Consider the following 15251-nt stretch of genomic DNA (forward strand, 5'->3'; position numbering starts at 1 on the left):
TGAGTGACAGAGTGAGACCCCATCTCAAAAAAAAAAAAAAAAAAATTGAATAAATGAAGTAACTCTTGGCTAATGAGAAAACTATAGGCTTTAGATCTCAGAAGTGCTTACTGATCAGCTAGTTTTGCACCCACATGGAAGGCTCTCCCCTTTTGCAGAGGTGAGTAGCAATTATGCCTATGGATAAATCCAAAACATTTCTCACAGAAGAATTTTGAATCTGCTTTTGTAACTGAACAATTAATTTAAGGTGTTAGAGGTCTAAGCTTTGTAGCATGAAGATAGGAAACCGGATAAAATGTGTGAAGGACATGTATTACAACTAAGCATAATAATAATAATGACAGCACATATTGAGTAGTTACTACATACCCAGCATTATTCTATGAGGTAGATACTATTATTATTTCCATTTGATAGATGAAGAAACTGAGGCACAGAATGGCTGAATAATTTCCCAAGGTCACACAGCAAGTAAGTGGCTGAGTCGGGATTCAAATTCAGTCAGTTTGCCTCCAAAGTCTGTTTTTCTCCTCTATACAATGAAGTCTTTCAGACCGAATAATCTTGGTATTAACCTATTTGACCATGTAAATTTAAATAAAACTACATAATGATAGGACAGATTGATAGCAAAAAGTACTGCTCAGTAACTGAAAGAGATTACATTCCTCCAGAAATGATAAGAAACAGGATAACAAAATCTTCAAAGCAGGAGAATTTTACCGTTGTTTGAAGGTAAGTTCTATCCCTTAGTAATTTTACTTTTGGATACATGAAGTTAATATTTCTACATGTTTTTCCCTGTTAAACAGCAGAACTTACCTTAAAACAACGGTGAAAGCCTCCAGCTTCTCTCAGGCATTCAAATGCTGACCATCACTTCCTGTGTCAAACTATGTCAGCAGACAGGACTTCTGGCTGGGAAGTAGCAGTAAAATGCCATCTCCCACAGAGAGACATCAGCACTATTCACAGTTAGGGAGATAGTGAAACAGTGACAAGTACTGCTAAAACAGTGTTAAGGTTGTTTAGTATTTTACCTACTAAATGACTGGGAGTTAGAATTAGATTTTATGTGTCACTAATTAAAGACAAATTATTAAGGACAAAAAGTCTTTTGATTCTCAGCCATTGAAGAAATGGCCAAAACACTAACCTGTCTCTCTGGCAGACTTAGAAGAGGTTCTTTTATTTTTAAATCACAACAAGGTAAAAATGTGAATAAAAGAAACACTTTAAGTTGTGCCAGTTAGGTTATCCTAACTCTGTGGCATAGACTGAGAAGTTTCCTAGACCAGCAATCTTAAAGTCTTAAAAGATGCCTTGGATCTTTTAAAACATGCCTGCAAAGGTATAGGAAAACCATGCTATATGGATATGACCAGCAAATCAAAACAAACACCTATAAAACAAATTTTAAAATTTACAAATCATGAGTTCCCCATCAGCAAGGAACAAAACCACTTCTTTCTCAGGGATGAATTATTTCAAGGCCTAACGGTAGCACATTAAGGGATCCTGGTTGTTGGCAAGGCTTCTGGGTATATTTCAGAGCGACACCTGCCATATTAAACACCATAAATCCACACGCGATCATTATGGGAGGAAAAAACAAAGATCAGTACTATTCATAATATAGATAGTGTTTATTTGCAACCTATGGCTATACCAGGCAATGAGGGTACATACCTTGTAAAGCTTTTGGATATGCTGTAGGAGAAAGCAAGCAGACTAGTGGCTGTCCAAACAAGTTTGTGAAATTCTGTAATATATAAGAATTTAAAACTTGCATTAAAGATTTGACCAAAGATAGTTACTTAGTAATTTTCCAAAGCATATTTTTAGTGTATAGATTGGGCCCTTAAACTCATAAATAGATGCAGAAACATCAGCAACAGCTAAGGAGACTGCCATTCATATATAAGTACCATGCATAATAGGCTTTCTTAAAGGCTCTCAATTGAAATAGTTTACTGAGTGAACTACTGATTTTTTAAACACAAGGCATAAACATGATTGTAGTTTTGCACGGAGAAGTCATCTGGCTGTATACCAAGAGGCCAATCCATCGAGCAACACACACTTATATATATAAAGGTGAACTTTCCAAGATCCAGGATCTGGCTTTCAGCTCCAAAACCTGATTCCTGGAGTCATCTCTTATTGTGGGTCATAATAACTGCTCTCATGGAATGACATAAAAGACCAGAATGTGAATCTGTGATTTACAGTAACAAGCTGACACTCAAACTAAAGTACTCTACATAATTAATCATATCCTTTCCCTGAAGGTATATCTACAAGGGAAGTAAAATCATAAGCTGTGTGGTAAAGCAACAAGAAAAATAAAACTCCTAGGAGTAAACTTAAAAAGAAATAAAAAATCAAACAACAAAAACATTTTTTAAAATACTCTTGAATGAAGACTTGAACAAATGTAAAGACATACCATGTTCTTTTTTTTTTTGAGTCGTGCTCTTGTTGCCCAGGCTGGAGTGCAATGGCACGATCTCGGTTCACTGAAACCTCCGTCTCCCTGGTTCAAGCGATTCTCCTGCCTCAGCCTCCCCAGTAGCTAGGACTACAGGTGCATGCCACCACACCTGGCTAATTTTTATATTTTTAGTAGAGATGGGATTTTGCCATGTTGCCCAGGCTGGTCTTAAATTCATGAGCTCAAGCGATCCACCCACCTCGGCCTCCCAAAATGCTGGGATTACAGGCATGAGCCAGCACGCCCAGCCAAAACATACTATGTTCTTAGAGATAAAACAATTCTAAAATGTCATTACACTAACTTATTAAAATTTAAACCAACCTCAATAAAAATAACCACAGACTTTTTTTCCTACAATTGAAAAAAGTAATTCTAAAGTTCATATGGAAAAACTGGATTCCCCAAGAGAACTCTGAAAAAGAGCAGAGGGGGAACTAGACTCATCAGATATTGAAACATACTTTACACCTCAGTGAGGCCCGGCACAGTGGCTCACGACTGTAATCCCAGCTCTTTGGGAGGTGGGAGAATCACCTGAGCCCAGGAGTTTGAGACCAGCCTGGGCAAAATAGTGAGACCCCGACTCTACAAAGAATAGAAAAATTAGCCAAATGTGGTGGTACATGCTTGCAGTCCCAGCTGCTTGGGAGGCTGAGGTGGTAGGATCACTTGCACCAGGGAGGTCAAGGCTACAATGAGCTCTGATTGTGCCACTGCACTCCACCCTGCGCAACAGAGCGAGACCCTGTCTCAAAACAAAAAACAAAACAAAACAAAACATAACAGAAGAAAAACGTCAGTAATTAAAGTGGTGCTGGTACAAGAGTAGGCAGGAAACCAATGGAACAGAATGAAAAGTCCAGAATTAGACTCCAAAACATTTAGGACTTATGTACACATAATAATGACACCTCAGATTGGCTGGAAAAACTGAATAGCCATCTAAAAGAAAGTTGGTTCCATACTTCATACCACACACTAGGACAAATTCCAAATATATCAAAGATGTAAATGTAAAAAATTAAATAATAAAAGTGGTGAAAAAAATAATTATTTTTTTTACCTAGACTCTCCTGTTATGATTAACTATGATTGATAAACCTAGTTACATAAAAATCAAAAGCTTATGAATGGTAAAATATAGCATAAACAAAATCAAAAGTCAAATAATGAACTGAAGAAAATATCTGGAACTCACATTACAAAGGATTAATCTCATAATATTGAAAGAGCCTCTTAGCCAGGCGCGTTGGCTCACACCTGTAATCCCAGCACTTTGGGAGGCAGAGGTGGGCAGATCACCTGAGGTCAGGAGTGGAGACCAGCCTGGCCAACATAATGAAACCCCGTTTCCACTAAAAATACAAAAATTAGCTGGGCGTGGTAGCGCATGCCTGTAATTCCAGCTACTCAGGAAGCTGAGGCAGGAGAGTCACTTGAACCCGGGAAGCGGAGGCTGCAGGGAGCCAAGATCGCACCACTGCACTCCAGCCTGGATGACAGAGCGAGACTCCATCTCAAAATTCCATTTTTACCCTATCAGTTAAGCAAAATTTCTAAAAGTTTGAGAATATACACTGTTGGCAAGAATGTGGGGAAATACTCATATGTAGGTAATAGGAGTATAAATTGATATAAACACTTTAGAAGACAATTTAACTTGGCAGCATCTATTACACTCAAATGCATATTAACACAGAAATTCCCAAACTAGAAATTTTCCCTATAGATACACTATGCAACTAATAAAATAACGTAAGTATTAAATTATTCCTTGAAGCCTTGTTAGTGATAGTGAAGGAATGGAAATAACACAACCAAATGACCAGAAATACAGGATTGGTACAATAAATTATGCTACAATAATACAATGGAATAATAAACAGCTATAAAAAAGAACAAAGAAGTTCTTTATGAACAGGTATGAAGGGTCACCAATACTTTTTTTCTTTTTTTTTTGAAACAGTTTCGCTCTGTCGCCCAGGCTGGAGTGCAACCTCCACCTCTCAGCTCACTGTAACCTCCGCTGCCCAGGTTCAAGTGATTCTTGTGCCTCAGCCTCCTGAGTAGCTGGGATTACAGGGGAATGCCACTGTGCCTGGCTAATTTTTGTGTTTTTAGTAGAGACGGGGTTTCGCCATGTTGACCAGGCTGGTCTTGAACTCCTGACCTCAAGTGATCTGCCTGCCTCAGCCTCCCAAAGTGCTGGGATTACAAGTGTGAGCCACCATGCCCAGCCTCAATACTTCTTATTAAATGAAAAAAGATATGGTGCAATGTGGTACAAGATGTTACTACTATTTATATAACTAAGAAAACTAAAGACTATTTCTTGGCTGGGCATGGTGTGTCTCATGCCTGTAATCCCAGCACTTTGAGAGGCCAAGGGCAGGCAGATCATTTGAGTCAGGAATTTGAGACCGACCTGACCAACATGGTGAAAGCCCATCTCTACTAAAAATACAAAAATTAGCCGGGCATGGTGGCGTGTGCTTGTAATCCCAGCTACTAGGTAGGCTGAGGCAGGAGAATTGCTAGAACCCAGGAGGCGGAGGTTGCAGTGAGCCAAGATCATGTCACTGTACCCTAGCCTGGGCAACAGATGAAGACTCCATCTCAAAAAATAAAAATAAAAAAAAGACTATTTGTTTTAGTTTGTATATCCATTTACAACTTTTTTTCTAAAAGGATAAGAAACAGGTAACAGTGATTATCTATAGGGAGAGATAGGAATTTAGTGCATTGGGACTAGGCGGGAGGAAGAGATTTCACAATATGACTTCTTGAAATTTTTGATTCTGTGACTTTGTGAATGTAATACCAGTACTAAAAATATTAAGCAAATAGGCTGGGCGCGGTGGCTCACGCCTGTAATCCCAGCACTCTGGGAGGCCCAGGCGGGCGGATCACGAGGTCGGGTGATCGAGACCATCCTGGCTAACACGGTGAAACCCCATCTCTACTAAAAACACAAAAAAATTAGCCGGGCATGGTGGCAGGTGCCTGTAGTCCCAGCTACTCGGGAGGCTGAGGCAGGAGAATGGCATGAACCTGGGAGGCAGAGGTTGCAGTGAGCTGAGATCGGACCACTGCACTCCAGCCTGGGTGACAGAGCAAGACTCCGTCTCAAAAAAAAAAAAAAAAAATTAAGCAAGTAATTCAGATATATTAGAAATATTTTGTAATCCAAACACAGGGAGTAAATTGAATGATTCTTTTGATAAGGCAGATTGAGGCATTTTCTGCACTACAGATCCCTAAAGATGGCTTTAGGGATCTTAGCCATGTCGCTTTTCCTCTTAGATAGTGCTAAAATGGACATTGCTATTATTTATTTCTAAAGGTCTCCTTTTTCTTTGCACTCCTTGCTAACGAACTTCTCTCCTGACTTTTTTTTTTTTCCCCCAATAATACTGTGCAGAGAAGAGTTAGCATAGCAAGCCAGACTGCCATCCTTCGAAAGTTTTGCTTATTGGGTTGGCCCCTGGCTGGCTTCTGGGAACTTAGTTTTGGTGAAAATTCCTACCATTAGCAGAACTGATAAAGAGTGGCTCGCTGTCCCTAGAATGTGCAAACAAGATGGTTTATACTGAACACCTGCTTTCCTTCTGGGAGTGTAGCATTTTGTTAAGAGCCAGGCAGAGAGTGCCCACAAGACCAGTTCCCAATAAAAACCCTGGTTGCTGAGTTCCTAATGAGCTTTGCTGGTAGATAATATTTAATCCATGTTGTCACAACTTGTTGGTTGGGTAATTAAGTGTATCCTGTGTGACTCCGCTGGAAGAGGGCCCCTGGAAGTTTGTACTTGGTTTTCTCCAAACTCACCCCACTTATCTTTTTCTTTTGCTGGTTTTGCTCTGTATCCTTTTACTGTACTAAATCTTAGCAGTGAGTACGACTATATGCCGAGTCCTGTGAATCTTCCTAGGAAATCACTGAACCTGGGAATCATCTTGGAGACCTCTGACATAAATACATGAATACCTTCTATCAGATTATAATTAAATTTTAGGCCTGAGAAATAGTTTCTTTAAGGTGCTTTACATGTGGCTTTACTCTGTTCTGATCTATTCATTAATTAATTTTATAGTTTAACTCCCATAGGATAATCTTATAATCTTTATTTGCAAGTTTTTGCAGAATATATCATAACTGCCCACACAGATGAAGTGTACGATTCAAAGCTATTAAGTTTAAGAAAAATTATAGCAAATATATACAAATGAATAAATTTGAACCAGACATAGCTCATATATAAAGTTGCTATTGAATTTTGTATGTTTGTCCTATATCTAACCACTTTGATGAATTTATATTCATATTAGTAGCTTTTCTGTGATTCTCTTGATTTTCCAAATATAAAATCATACCGTCTGCAACTAGTGGTTTTCATCTCATTCTTTCCAATATTTACTGTTTTGTGTCCTCTTCTACTAATCCGAACAACTCTTGTTATTGTTTTATTTGGGGAATGTTATGAATTTCTAGTTGGGACAAAAGTAATAGTGTATCATAATGATAGTAACAGGCATTCTCTTTTTCTTATTTTAATTGAACATACTTTTAGTGTTTCTCTAAGTACAACGTTGGCTATTTAATAAAGAAGCTCTTCATCATAGGTTCAGTGCTTTAGTTAAGAACACGTGATGAGTGTTATTAGATTTTACTAAATGACTGTTACGAAAGCATGTGATTGTCTTATTTATCCTATCGACATAGTTTATAGTATTAAATTTTTTTTTTTTTTAGTCAAGGTCTTGCTCTGTAACCCAGGCAGGAGTACAGTGGTGTGATCATAGCTCACCGCAGTCTTTATCTTCTGAACTCAAGCAATCCTCCTGCCCCAGCCTCCTAAGTAGCTAGCACTGCACAGACGTGGCACCACACTCAGCTAGTTTTTTATTTTATAGATGGGGTCTTGCTATATTGCTCAGGCTAGTCTTGAACTCTTGGCCTCTAGCAATCCTCGTGCCTTATGCTCCCAAAGTGCTGGGATTACAGACGTGAGATACTGCACCTGGCCTGATTTTCCTTTACCTAATCTTCATGCATGATTCAGATAAACTCTTTTGATAGATGATTCTATTAATAGCCTATTGGCTAGTATTTTATTTAAATTCTTCTATTCTATATTGATAAACTACTTTGGGGTAAAGTTTTCTTTCATGTGTGCTAATTTTGTCTGGAAACAGTATCATTATCATAATAATTCCTATCATTTACTGAGTGCTATTTTCCAGAAACTACGCTAGGCTTCATAGATCTTAATCTGCAATCACGACAATCCTGTGAGATCAGCATTCACAACTTATTTGAGAAGGAAAAAGCAGCTCAGAAAAGATCAAAGACATGATCAAAGCCATACAAGTATTTTGTGGCCTAACTGCTACAGAATGAATTGGATAGTTCTGACCTTTTTCATTGCCCTAAATTGTATATCTGACTCTAAAGGTTTCAAAGTATTATTGGGCCGGGCACGGTGGCTCACGTCTGTAATCGCAGCATTTTGGGAGGCCGAGGGGGGTGGTTCATCTGAGGTCAGGAGTTCGACACCAGCCTGGCCAACATGGTGAAACCCCATCTCTACTAAAAATAAAAAAATAAAAAAATTAGCCGGGTATGGTAACATGCACCTGTAATCCCAGTTATTTGGGAGGCTGAGGCAGGAGACTCACTTGAACCCGGGAGGCAGAGGTTGCAGTGAGCTGAGAACATGTCACTGCATCCCAGCCTGGGCAACAGAGTGCGACTCTGTCTCAAAAAAAAAAAAAAAAAAAAAAATTATTGGTAAACCCAGAAGGGCTAGAAGCCTTTCTTGGGGGGAAAAGGAAATAATTTTGATAACTTTCCTACATTTCTAGCCAGTGATGGGGCTGTTCTGATTTCTTTCATATAGCCATTCAATCTTTTGCCTAGGAAATTATTTCTTTAACTGGGGTTTAAAATATATTCACTAGCTGGGTGTGGTGGCTCATAATCCCAGCACTTTGGAAGACCAAGGTGGGAGAATCGCTTACAGCAGGGAGCTCAAGATCAGCCTGGAGAACATAGCAAGACCCTATCTCTACACAAAATTTAAAAATTAGCCAGGTGTGGTGGCATGTTTCTGTAGTCCTAGTACTCGGGAGGCTGACATAGGAGGATCTCTTGAGCCCAGGAGTATGAGGCTGCAGTGAGCTATGACTGTACCACTGCACTCCATGCACTCCAGCCTGGGTGACAGAATGAAAACCTGTCTCTTAAAAAAAAAAAAAAAAGCATTCACTTAAAACAGTATATAATGTTCTTTTTAAAGATCTCTTCTTCTCTTCTTCAACAAATAACTCATGGACCTAAGGACTAGACACTGCTACAGGTGCTAGAGATACAACAGTAAACAAAACAGAAAAAACTCTATCTTCTGGAGCTGACATTTATGTAAGTATTTTTTTATTTTTATTTTTATTTTTTGAGATGATGTCTCACTCTGTTGCCCAGGCTGGAGTGCAGTGGCGATCTCAGCTCACTGCAACCACCACCTCCCGGGTTCAAGCAACTCTCCCTGCCTCAGCCTCCCTACTAGCTGGGATTACAGGCATGTGCCACCACACCCGGCTAATTTTTGTATTTTTAGTAGAGACAGGGTTTCACCATGTTGGCAAGGCTGGTCTCGAACTCCTGACCTCAGGCAATCCACCCGCCTCAGCCTCCCAAAGTGCTGGGATTACAGGCGTGAGCCACCGTGCCCGGCCTAGAGCTGAGTTGGATGGGGGATGGAGAAATGGTAGATTGTGACCCACAGTAAACTAACCAACTAAATAAATAAGTTATATAATATCACAGAAGGTGACAAGTGCTACATATGGAAGCACAGCACATAGTTAATAGCACAGGTTTTACAGTCCATTGTTTTACATTCCAACTTGGCTACCTACTATCTGTGTGATCTTGGGCAAATTACTTAACCTTTATCTGTGCCTTGGTTTTCTTATCAGTAAAATGGGAACAATAAAAGCAACACACTGTGTTGTGCAGGAATTAAACGTATACACATAAAATGCTTAGAACAGTGCATATTGCTAGTCACTACAGAAAAGTTAACTGTTATGATTATTAAGAAAAAGAAAGGTGGATGAGGAGTACTGGGGAGGCATATAATTTTAAGTAGGACAATTAGGGAAGACCTTTTAAAAGGCTTTATTTGCTCAAACACCTAAAGAATAATGTAGGTATCTTTGGAAGAGCATTCAAGGCAGAGGGAAAAGAATGTAAAGATCTAGGGCAGATGACTGCCTGATATGTTTCAGGAACAGCAAGGGGGTCAGTGTGGCTGAAGAGAACTGAGCAATCAGGGGCCAGGGAAGAGAGAAGATCAGAGATGTTTTTGGAAGACTGGGGAGGGAGGGGTATATGTAAGCAGAAAAAATAAAGCCTTTCTTCTGAGTGAGATGACAGGCCATTGGTGATTTTGAGTAGAAAGGTGGCATATCTGTCTTATAGGCACACTTACAGGAGAGCGAGGAAGGAGGAAGACTCATTAGAAGGCTACTGCAGTAATTCAGGTGAATGATGATGGTGGTATGAGCCAGGATGAGGCAGAGGAGGTAATAGGATCTTGGATATACATATTAGTTCGAGTCAACAGGATTTCCTAAAATGGATGTTGGATGTGAGGGGAGGAGTAGTCAAGTACGAAATCAAGGATTATGGCCGGGGCAACTATAATAGCATAGTAGCCATGAACTAAAATGGGGAAAGCTGTATATGGAAGAGCCTAGGAATTCCGCCTTGGGCATGTTCAGTTTGCAAACTCTACCAACTAAATTATAACTAAAGATATGGAGTAGGTAGATAATATTCAAGTTGAGTTTGAGAGAGAGGTCTGGCTTGGAGGTTGTCAACACAGAAACAGCAAAGCCATAAAATCAGCTAAGAACATCAGGAAGTCAGCTGTAGGTGGAAAAGAACAAGGACTGAACTCAAGGGCACTTCACTGATAAAAGGGCAGAGAGATACAGAAAAATCTGTAGAGGAGACTGAAAGGATATGCAGATTCCAGAACTCTTGCCCTGAATCAATCTAGCAACTTGAATTTGGGTTTTGAAGATCTCATCTGGAAAAGGGGACAAATGTCACAGCTCAGCATCTGTCCAAGATGGGAATCTAATAGAAAACTCGCCCTGCATTAAACTGGAATCCTCAGGGCTACAGCCTTTAAATTGGAATCCTAAAAGGGTACACCCTTTAACCTGGAATCCTAAAGGGCTATACTGTCAGTATAAGGATTAACCAAAACCAAACTTGACACTTCCTCTCCCTTCCATGATCACTCCACATGGGACTGCAAAACATTTTTTCTTGATGCTGAGCAGAAAACAAAAGAAAACAAAAATTAGTTCCTGAGGGTTGTCAGTGTAAGTCAGCCCTCCTGCATATTTGCAGCCCAGATTTCTATCAACTAGGTGATCCCAAACTGGTAGTGCCTCTGGGTGTCTGGCATAAGCAAATGCAGACCCTCTCTGAATAAAGGTATCCTCATCCTAGGGCTCTATGAACTTCATACAAGTAATTTTTAAGAAGAAGAAGAAGAAACATAGTCAAAAATAATCAAGCATACAGGGGCACAAAAACAGCAAAGGATGTCTCAAACAGCAAAATCAGATTTCATATAGAAAATCCAATTTCAGCTGGGCACGGTGGCTCACACCTGTAATCCCAGAACTTTGGGAGGCAGAGGCGGGCAGATCACCTGAGGTTGGGAGTTTGAGGCCACCCTGACCAACATGGAGAAACCCCGTCTCTACTAAAAATACAAAATTAGCCAGGCGTGGTGGCACATGCCTGTAATCCTAGCTACTTGGGAGGCTGAGGAGAATTGCTTGAACCGGGGAGGCGGAGGTTGCAGTGAGGTGAGATCGCACCATTGCACTCCAGCCTGGGCAACAAGAGTGAAACTCTGTCTCAATAAAAAAAAAAAAAAAAGAAATTCCAATTTCATATATGATTATAGAAAATATCACACAGACAACAAATAATAAGTATGCTTATTAAGTTTGAAGAAATAAGAAATAAACTTGAAAATAAGAAACTATAAAAAGGGCAATGGAGTGTCCGGGCGCGGTGGCTCATGCCTGTAATCCCAGTACTTTGGGAGGCCAAGGCAGGCAGATCACGACGTCAGGAGATAGAGACCATCCTGGCTAACATGGTGAAACCCCATCTCTACTAAAAATACAAAAAATTAGCTGGGTGTGGTGGCGGGCACCTGCAGTCCCAGCTACTTGGGAGGCTGAAGCAGGAGAATCGTTTGAACCCGGGAGGCGGAGATTGCAGTGAGCCGAGATCACGCCACTGCACTCCAGCCTGGGCAACAGATCGAGACTCCGTCTCAAAAATAAAATAAAATAGAAAAGGGCAATGGAATACTTAAAAAAGAATGACATATAATTTATCAACATGAAAAATACCATAACCAACAAAAAACTCAATAGATGGGTTTGAGAGCAAGTTACACACAGCTGAAGAGAAAATTTTTGAACTAAGAGCTAGATCAGAAGAAACTATACAAATCTCAACCAAAGAAACAAAATGATGGAAAATACAGACAGAAGAGAGGTTAAGAAATGTGGAGGACACAGTGTGAATGTCTAATACACATATTTAATTGGAGCTCCATAAGGTGAGGAGAGAGAAGCTTAGATACCATCGATATGTGAAGAGAAAATGAGAATTTCCCAGCAGTAACAAAAAACTCCAACCTACCACCTCAGGAAGTCCAACAAATCCCAATAGATTTAAGCCAAACCTAGATATATCACCATATAACTGCAGGACAGCAAAAACAAAAAGGTCTTTCAAAGCAGCAAGAGAGAAATGGAATGAAGGTGAGGCTGACTGGCAGAAGAGCTCTTACATAACTGAATCCTGTTGTGAATGCCTTAAGAAACTGATTGCTGTAGACATCAGTCAAATACTTTAGGATGAGGCTGTTTAGATAAATACTCCTGTTTTGACAAATCTGTAAGTCATTTTCACAGGCAGGGATCCAGCTAGCTCTGTCATAAATACTTAAATGTGCAAAAGGATTTTCTTCTTCCAGGGGAAAAAAGAAAAAGAAGTATTGCCCAAAATGACTGAGGGCCTTTTTTTTGAGATGGAGTCTCGCTCTGTCGCCCAGGCTGGAGTGCAGTGGTGCGATCTCGGCTCACTGCCTCCCAGGTTCAAGAGATTCTCCTGCCTCGGCCTCCTGAATAGCTGGGATTACAGGCATGTGCCACCATGCCTAGCTAATTTTTGTATTTTTAGTAGAGATGGGGTTTCACCATGTTGGTCAGGCTGGTTTCAAACTCCTGACCTTGTGATCCGCCTGCCTCGGCCTCCCAAAGTGCTGGGATTACAAGTGTAAGCCACTGCACCTGGATGGCTTTTTTTTATTATTATTATTTTAAACTCCTACTAAATACTACATTACCACAGACAAGGCCAATCAACTTGCTTAGTTTGCCCCTACTGGCAATCTAAGAGCCAAAATATGGGCCATACTTGTTACACAAATATTGGTATTTCAATCACAGTATTCCTCTAATATGAGGCTCAGACAAGCCTGAAAAGCTACTCTTTCTCTACGTGGGAAAGAGCATGGGCACTGCAATGAGAAAGACTGGTGTTGGAAATATTAGACAAGATCCTGAACCTCAGAGGCAAAGTTTCCTCAAGTACAAAATAAGGACAATAGCTCCCTCATTTCATCATTCAACATGCACTGATTAAGACTCTTTTGGCCGGGCATGGTGGCTCACACCTGTAATCCCAACACTTTGGGAGGCCGAGCTGAGTGGATCACTTGAGGTCGGGAATTTGAGACCAGCCTGGCCAACATGGGGAAACCCTGTCTCTACTAAAAAATACAAAAATTAGCCGGGTGTGGTGGCACACACCTGTAGTCCCAGCTACTTGGGAGGCTAAGGCAGGAGAATCGCTTGAACCCGGGAGGCAGAGGTTGTAGTGAGCCAAGATCATGCCACTGCACTAGAGCCTGGGTAACAGAGCGAGACTTCTTCTCAAAAAACAAACAAACAAACAAACAAACACTCTTTTAAGTGTGAGGCACTGGGTAAGGATATATGTATCTATAAACACACACACACACACACACAACACCTACACACATGCACACACATACACACACGCTTCAGGGAAAACATGGCATCATGCTGGTCACTAGACCTTTATATTCCAGGTGGAATAGTTGCATCTTCTCTGATATACATGACCAGGCCATGAAGGAAGACCTAAAGATACTGGCATTAGGGATTACCCAACTATAAGGTCCAGCTCAGTTGGAACCAGTCCCAGAGCTCAGTTGGAATCACCCCTCAGAGCTTCTGATCAGTTTGCTAGGCTCCAATCTTAAGTATGAGCAAACAAGCAGGGATTATGATACTCTCAGGGAAGTCTCTAATGAGAAAGACAGAGGCAAAAACAAGCAGAAACAAATGAAGAAAGAGGAAGCAGATACGAGGCAGGGAGAAATTTTAAATGATCACTGATATTCTCAAAGGAAAGTGATATATTTCAACCATGATTTAAAAAAACCCAAAATAATTATATATATATGTGCATATGTATGTATGTGTTACATAAACACACATGCATCTATTTCTATATATATGAAAGGAAAATAGACAAATGAAAAATCTCAATAAAAGGCTTAGAAGATAAAGATGAGGGGATTTCCTAAAGAAAAAATGTATTAAAGAGCAAAGGACAGACAAACAAATAAAAGACAACCAGACCAGAATGTGCAATAACGAAAAAAGTTCTTAAAAGACAGAACAGGAAAAAAGAAAATGCAGAGAGAAAAATAAATGGACTAACTCTAGAAAATGAGCAGTTTCCAGACTGAAATAATTCACCAAGTACATGTTAAGCACCATAGTTAAAAGTAAATCCAGACCAGCCAGGCACAGTGGCTCACGCCTGTAATCCCAGAACTTTGGGAGGCTGAGGCGGGTGGATCACGAGGTCAGGAGTTCGAGAACAGCCTGGCCAAGATGGTGAAACCCCATCTCTACTAAAAAAATACAAAATTAGCTGGGTGTGGTAGCGCATGCCTGTAATCCCAGCTACTCGGGAGGCTGAGGCAGGAGAATCTCCTGAACCTGGGTGGTGGATGTTGCAGAGAGCCAAGATCGTGCCACTGCACTCCAGCCTGGTTGGCAAGAGTGAAACTCCATCTTAAAAAATAAAAAAGTAAAGTCAAACCAGGAAACGATATTGAGAAACTGAAAAATCACTAAGAAGAAAGAGAAGATTCTATACGTTTCCAGACACTGAAAATGTGTTGCATAAAAAAGAAAACAGAATTAGAATGCTTCATGCTTCTTAAGAAATATTGGGCTCGGCGCCGTGGCTCAGGCTGAGCATGGTGGCTCACGTCTGTAACCCTAGCACTTTGGGAGGCCCAGACAGGCATTCAAGACCAACCTGGCCAACATGGTGAAACCCCACCTCTACTAAAAATACAAAAAATTAGCCAGGCGTGGTGGTGTGCGCCTGTAATCCCAGCTACTCAGGACGTTGAGAGAGGAGAATCACTTGAACCTGGGAGGCGGAGGTTGCAGTGAGCCGATATCACATCACTGCACTCCAGCCTGGGTGACAAGAGTGAGACTGCATCTCAAAAAAATAAAAATAAAAAAGTCCAGGCACGATGGCTCATGCCTGTAATTCCAGCACTTTGGAAGGCCAAGGTGGGTAAATCATCTGAGGT

General features: G+C 40.5%; 1 protein-coding gene across 6 annotated transcripts in view, besides 1 other annotated feature; it reads right to left on the reverse strand.

The window, feature by feature from the left end:
* SCAI (suppressor of cancer cell invasion) overlaps positions 1–15251 on the reverse strand; it is a 200921-nt gene that overhangs the window by 31814 nt on the left and 153856 nt on the right. For 4 of the 6 annotated variants that reach the window (XR_007061283.1, XR_929768.2, NM_001144877.3 and 1 more), the window contains one exon: positions 1693–1765. Coding sequence is in view for 2 of the 6 variants with exons in the window: in NM_001144877.3 (NP_001138349.1) it covers positions 1693–1765 (73 nt within the window). In the remaining 4 variants the exon portion in view is untranslated. Of the gene's footprint in view, positions 1–825; positions 969–1692; positions 1766–15251 lie in introns of all 6 variants that reach the window. The other 2 variants (XR_007061282.1, XR_007061281.1) reach the window with 1 other exon arrangement.
* Positions 673–1231: an enhancer, noted in NCBI's record as "NANOG hESC enhancer chr9:127737373-127737931 (GRCh37/hg19 assembly coordinates)". NCBI's record gives its function as "activates a minimal SCP1, AML or CMV promoter by ChIP-STARR-seq in primed H9 embryonic stem cells {active_cell/tissue: H9 hESC(primed)}" and the evidence as "EXISTENCE:reporter gene assay evidence [ECO:0000049][PMID:30033119]".

The sequence above is a fragment of the Homo sapiens genome, chromosome 9 (genome assembly GCF_000001405.40).
Source record: "Homo sapiens chromosome 9, GRCh38.p14 Primary Assembly".
Lineage (NCBI taxonomy): Eukaryota > Metazoa > Chordata > Mammalia > Primates > Hominidae > Homo > Homo sapiens.